At 34.0% G+C, this 7,241-nt stretch overlaps 1 pseudogene; it reads left to right on the top strand.

Annotated features, from left to right (window-relative positions):
• On the top strand, window positions 6,792-7,078 carry RN7SL691P (RNA, 7SL, cytoplasmic 691, pseudogene; annotated as a pseudogene).

The following is a 7,241-nucleotide window of genomic DNA, read 5'->3' as shown; positions in this document are numbered from 1 at the left end:
AGTTTCTTTTGCTGTGCAGAAGCTCTTCAGTTTAATTAGATCTCATTTGTCTATTTTGGCTTTTGTCCTAAGTGTATTTCTTTCAGCAAGGACACCAGTTTAAAAAAAAGCAACTCAAACTCTTCTCAACTTTTTACATCAAATAAATCAAAGCTGGTGGAATCAATTATTTGATCAATACACAAAATTGTAAAATTCCTAATCCTTATTGCCATTAACAAAATGGTTCAGGAACTCCACACATAAATGACTATTTTATATCCATAAGAGATCATTATACTACATATTGACTTGTGAGATTTCAAAAAATTGACTAGTATATGGAAAGCCAAACTATCTTAAAGTAAAAAACAAACCTTCGACAAGTGTATGTATGTTTGATCAGTCTCAAATTAGAGAAGAAAGCTGTCTCTGTTCTAAAATTTGAATATTCTCAATCTCCATCCTTGTGGGAAAGCATTAAGAAAAGAATTACAGTGGTTGTATTTATTCTCCCTTTATTGACTGCTACAGGCAGCACATACCCTCTCCTCCAATCTCTGAATATTAGTCACTTGCCAGTTAATTTATGTTTTCATATTTCTACATAGTGACTCAAAAGCCAATATTTATAATACCATTTTAACTTCAAATTATAGATACTAACAGTAGCATTTTGAGGTATATCCAAAATAGGTTTTAAAATACACCATTTGCCCAGCCTGAAATTTCATAAATATTATTCCGAGGAACTTAATTATTCAGCTAATTCTTGTTTCACATCTCTTTAGGAAACAAAAATCTGGCTAATGTTAATTAATTGCAGTTTTAAATCAAGAAGCTAGGGTACATTTGTAAACTATATCCCTTTTTTCATGTAAGATATTACCTTGGATAATTGAGATCTAAATATGTGTGTTAGAGGCCCATACTCAAAATATTTTTGTTTTATTATTTTAATGTACTAAGAAACCAAAAGAAACAACATGAAATATAACATCATGAATGTGGATGCTGAACGTCTGCCCACTTGAAAAGTCTGGGAAGGGAACACTAATCCTCTAATGAATTCAGGTGAGTGAGCAAGAACGTGTTAAGAAGAGTTTATGATAGTTGGAGAGAGGAGAGAGAATCATAGTTGTCAAGGTGGATGCTGCAAAGAGAACTGTTGATGTGTTTAGCGGTAACATTGACTACTCACCCTTACAGGAATTGAACTACATTAGATGTAAGACTGTATTGATGCAAAATTTGATTTATTTGGTAAGAAACAAAACTTTGTGTGCCATATGAGAAAACTAACAGAAAGAAAAAATTGATCTCTAACTGAAAGTTGGCAAATGACAGCAGATAATTGGTTCCACAGATTTGCAAATCTGAGAAAGTGTCTTCCTTGGGGTCCTTCTTAGGCTGAATCAGAGGTAGGAAAAATGTACATTTCAATTCTGGGAGGAAGAAAGAGCAAGGTCAGAGCCAGAGAGAGAAACAGAGACAGAGAGAGAACCATTAAAAGCAGCTCAGAGAGAAAACAAATTAAAATATGACAAAGAAAACAGCAGGGAGATCAGAACTCAATGCATCTTTTGGAACTTTGTTTCCCTCATCTTTTGCAGTAACAAGAGTAGAACAGGCATTGGGAGGTTAATAAGCTGTTCTGAAATAAAAACTTAAATGACTTAAAAATTCAGAAGAATGAGAAACCTAACACAAATATGCTAATTAGAAAATCCCACTGCAACAAATATTTCTTTTTGAAATTCCATATGATCTGAAAAATAAAAGAATAAGTACTTTTCTACTTTATATTCTTTAAAGAATAAGAGAAAGATAAAAGAAAAAGTACTTTTCCACTTTATATTCTCCCATAAATGTGCTAGTTCTGTATGAAATTATTTTGGACTTTGAATGGCATTAATATAATTTGAAGGACAGGAAACTATATATTAGGCATAGAGTGAAATACGTTATATTCTGACTTGAAATAGAAATTAAATTTTCATAATTTAATTTAAACATTATACTTTTCCACAAAGTATAATGTTTTTTTCCAAAATAACAATGGTTAATTGATATTTATTTAGTTTTCTGATAATTTCAATAATATTTAACTTTTAGTAGCTTATAATCCTTTTGCATGTTTTTTAATTAAGTGAATATGTTCTTTAACATGAACAAATCATTTTAAATAATAATTATCTTTCTATCTAAACAATACTCTTTAAGAATATGCCTTCCTACAGATACTGAGCTATATTACAGAAAAAAAAAGAAATAATTGCTTTTACCTCTTATTATAACTTTTTAAATATAAATGCAGTGTATTAGTCCATTTTCACACTGCTATAAAGAACTACCCAAGACTGGATAATTTATAAAGGAAAGAGTTTTAATGGACTTACAGCTCCATGTAGCTGGGGAGGCCTCGAGAAACTTATAATCATGATAGAAGAAGAAGCAGGCACCTTCTTCACAAGGCAGAAGGAGAGAGATTCTGTGAAGGAGGAACTGTCAAACACTTATAAAACCATAAGATCCTGTGAGAACTCACTCATTATCACAAGAAAAGCATGGAGGAAACTGCCCCCACAATTAAATCACCTCCCACCAGGTCCCTCCCTTGACACTGGGGATTATGGGGATTACAATTTGTGATAATATTTGGGTGGAGACACAGAGCCAAAACATATCATTTCACCTTTGGCCCCTCTCAGATCTCACATCCTTTTAATGTTTCAAAATCAAGCATGCCTTCCCAACAGTCCCCCAAAGTCTTAACTCATTTCAGCATTAACCCAAAATTCCAAGTCCAAAGTCTTATCTGAGATAAGGCAAGTCTCTTCTGCCTAGGAGCCTGTAAAATCAAACTCCAGTTAGTTATTTCCAAGACACAATGGGGGTACAGTCATTGGATAAATGTTCCCATTCCATAGGGGAGAAATTGGCCAAAACAAAGTGGCTACAGACCCCATGCAAGTCTGAAATCCAGTGGGGCAGTCATTACATCTTAAAGCTCCAAAATAGTCTCATTTGACACATCTCACACCCAGGGCATGCTGATGAAAGGGGTGGGCTCCCATGATCTTGGGCTGCTCCATCCTCTTGGCTTTGCAGGGTACAGCCCTTGTGACTGTGTTCACAGCTGGTGTTGTGAACTTGTGGCTTTTCCAGGCACACAGTGTGAGCTGTCAGTGGATCTACAATTCTGAGTTCTGGAGGATGGTGGCCCTCTTCTCACAGCTCCACTAGGCAGTGTTCCAGTGGGGACTGAAAATGACCTGAAAGCTATAGGGTTTGCTTAAAATGTAATTACATGTTTTAAAAGCAAGGTGAGAGAGATGACTGAAGACACATAAAACTTTATTATGAACATACTAGGTTCAGTCTGTTCAATAACCTTCTCATGTATTGATAAAAAATGTTTGAGAGTCAAAATGAACAGATCTATAAATGGGCAATTTTTTATATTTAAATTTATTTTCAAATATTACACTGTCACATAATGACTACATTATAGTGTGAATTATAAAGTAAGCCGTTCAGTTTACCTGCTTTTTATGTATTGGTTTGATTGCTGTTTTTATTAATGGCCATTGATAACCTACATCAATTCACAAAAGATTCAAGGAGGTTTCAGTATAGATAAATTGATTGGTTGCCTACCGAATTCATAGGTAGAATTACGTTATCCAACTTCTATAACCAAAATTGTAAAAGTTTATTAACATAATCATGATAATGGTTGATATCTTCTTTTAATATACTTGCTATGAGCTTCACTTAACCACTGAGATTTAGAGTTTAAATGTGTGAGCTCTCAGGGCAGTGTGCTTCAGGTTCAATTCCAGTTCTACCACATATAAACTGTGTATCCGGGGCAAATTATTTAAATATTTTTCATCTATTAAATGGGGTTATCAGTACACTTATTCTATGGGTTGCTATGATGATAAGATGAAATAATACAGCTAAAGTGCTTAGAATGATGCCTTGAAATAAATAATCCTTAAATAATTTTAGCTATTATTGGGAGATATACCTAATGCTAGATGACACGTTAGTGGGTGCAGCGCACCAGCATGGCACATGTATACATATGTAACTAACCTGCACAATGTGCACATGTACCCTAAAACTTAGAGTATAATAAAAAAAAAAATTAAAAAAAAAATAATAATAATTTTAGCTATTGCTAATAATACTGTGTAGTATGTAGTTTTATTATCCAAATTATTATCTGAATATGGGATAATTATTCCCTATCTGTTAACGTGGAGAATATATAATAAGTTTTTAATGGTCACATAATGAATAAATGAATGTCAGAGCCAGGAAATTTCATATTCTTGAATTTCATGCCACGCCTAGAGAAGCAGGAAATATGAACTGATATTGAAAGACATCCCTGAAAATAGGTTAAAAATAATTAATTGTTATAAAATATATGTTTTATAGAAAAAGAGAACAAAATAAACAAAAAAAACCCCACTGAATGGCAATAGATAATTTGAAAAACAGAACTCAGATAAATGTTGCCTATAAATAATAACATTTCTACATTGGAATGATATTTAAATACATTTTAATGGAATTCTCGCCTTTAAAATCAAGTTTGGTAAAAACCTTATTAAGATTTAGATTTTTCTGGAATCATGAATTTGATTCGATTTCAAATTCTGCAATGAAAATTAATTTGAAAATCTGACACACACACACACACCACATACCAATTATTGCTACTGCTAATGATCCTAATAGAGTTCTATAGAGTGCTACAGATCTTTGTTCTAGGCTCAGTGCAGACCAATGTCGAATATCCATCTCATGGAAAAGACATGTTTACCATAATTGCAGATCCAAGAAGCTAGAAAGCAGAACTAATACCAGCTATCATAAACCATGTTTCAATAACGAATTGAATGATATTTTTGTGGAAAACCGAGATAATGTAGTTACATGAGAGTAAATCAAAAATTTTTTACCAATTTTTTTACTTTCAAAGAATTGCACAAGTGTAAGATTAGAGATTCCTAAAGTAAGTGAACCTGCTACTGTGAGCAGGAGATCAAAAAGCAAACAAATAAACAAACAAATGCCCAGAAACACAGATTCCTGACATTTTTGAGTCCTTGAGCCAATGTTAGCAAGCCTTTAACCTTCAAAATACTTGCTATGTGAGAAAAATTAACTCCTGCTATTTAAGCAACTATTTGTTAAGCATTTTGTTACTTACAGGGATAGAATATCTAATTGATACACCATCTATATGCTGTTGGCTTTTTAATGCATGTTTCTCAGAATTCTTGTGAGCTGCCACATCTTTCACACAGGGTGAATATTTGTTAACTAACTAATGAATAAAAGAACTTGATCTCTTTAAGAAATTCCTATTTGACATCTATAATTGAATGTTTTGAATCAAATATATTATGGTCGAAGCTGGACTTTTAATTGTCTCTATGCTTTAAAACTTATTTTTTCTTTATAATATTTAAATAAATGAGATAATATTTACCAATGTGTTCAAACAAAAATCAGGATTCATCTTTGATTATTCTCTTTGGATATTTTGTTTGTTTTTGTTTTAATATTCGAAGACTATGCTCATTCCCACTTCTAGCTTTTATGCGTAATCATTTATTGTATATGAAACACTGTTTCTAACCTTTACATGGCTACTTCCTTTCTTTTTTTAATTCTTGAATTACAAAGGATATTCAAAGAGAAACTTCCCTGATTTCATAGTTAATTCAGTTTCTCAGTTATTTGCTATCACAGGACACTATTTTTTTCACTTCATTGTATTTATTGTGGATATGATAATTGTTTTTAATTGAGATTTTTTTTAAAAAATGAGATTAAAACAATAGGATAATTGTGTTTTTTAAAATATTTACTGTGGGTGTATTGTTGTCCCACAACAGGAGATACATAAATTATGAATATATTTACCTTCTCTATTCAGGCAGGAAAATAGGGTCTTGGGGGCAGTAAACCTAGAAGTAAATCAAATGAAAAAAAAAAAAAAACTTTCTATGACCAAGTAAATAACTTTGTAACTTCAGCTATGGCAGAAAACATCCTCTTCATTTGCATAGGGTGTACATCAAGTAAATTACTTTGTAACCTCACTTTATCCTCTCATTTGCATAGGTCGTATACAAAGTAACCAATGGGAAACCTCTACAGGATATTAAAATCCCAGAAAATTCTGTAACCGGGCTCTTGAGCCACTTGCTCAGGCCTGCTCCCACCTGGCGTGTGCTTTTATTTTCAATAAATCTCTGCTTTTGTTGCTTCATTCTTTCATTGCTTTGTTTGTGCATTTTTTCCAATTCTTTGTTCAAAATGCCAAGATCCTGGACACCTTCCACTGGTAACTTATTTGCCTTTCTCTATGGCATTCAAATCCAAATTTAAATAAAATCTGCATTAGTTATCTATTGCTACATAGCAAATGACCCCAGAATTTAGTAATGTAAACATCAAGCATGTATCTCATAGTTTCTGTGGCTTACAAGCCTGGGTGCAGATTAGCTGGGTACCCCTAGGTCAGAGTTCCTCACAAAGCTGCAACTGAGGAGAGGAAGTTAATAAGCCCACTCATATAACTGTTGGCACACTTTAGTTCCTAGTGAGTTGTTGAATAAAGGACCTTAGTTCCTTACTGGTTGTTGGCTCCAGGCTTCCCTCAGCTTCTTGCCACATAGGACTCTCCAGAGAGAATCTCACAACTTGTCAGGTAGTTTCATTCAGAACAAGCTAGTGAGTGAGTGAAAATGAGTGAGCAAAATGGAGCCTACAGATGTGTGCAATGGTGCATACCTATAGTCCCAACTACTCTGGAGGCTAAGGCAGTAGGATAACTTGAGTCCAGGAGTTCTGGGCTGTAGTGCACTATGCTGATCAGTGTTTGCACAAAGTTCAGCATCAATATGGTGACTTCTCGGGAGCTGGGATCACCAGGTTGCCTGAGAAGGGGTTAACCACCCCAGGTAGGAAACAGAGCAGGTCAAAACTCCAGTATTGATCAGTAGTGGGATGGTGCCTACGAATAGCCGCTGCACTCCAGCCTGGGCAACCTAGAGAGAACCTCATCTCTGAAAAAGAAAAAGAAAAAGAAATTGAACCCACAGTCTTTCTGTAACCTACTCCAGAAAATGGAATTCCATCATTATAGCCATATCCCATTCCTAGGAAGGGAATCTTTGGGTTCTGTCCACACTCGATTGGAGGGGAATACATAAAGGCATAAATATTAGGAG

The sequence above is a fragment of the Homo sapiens genome, chromosome 4 (assembly GCF_000001405.40).
Source record: "Homo sapiens chromosome 4, GRCh38.p14 Primary Assembly".
NCBI classification, from domain to species: Eukaryota; Metazoa; Chordata; class Mammalia; order Primates; family Hominidae; genus Homo; species Homo sapiens.
This window is presented reverse-complemented; position numbering and strand designations above follow the sequence as displayed.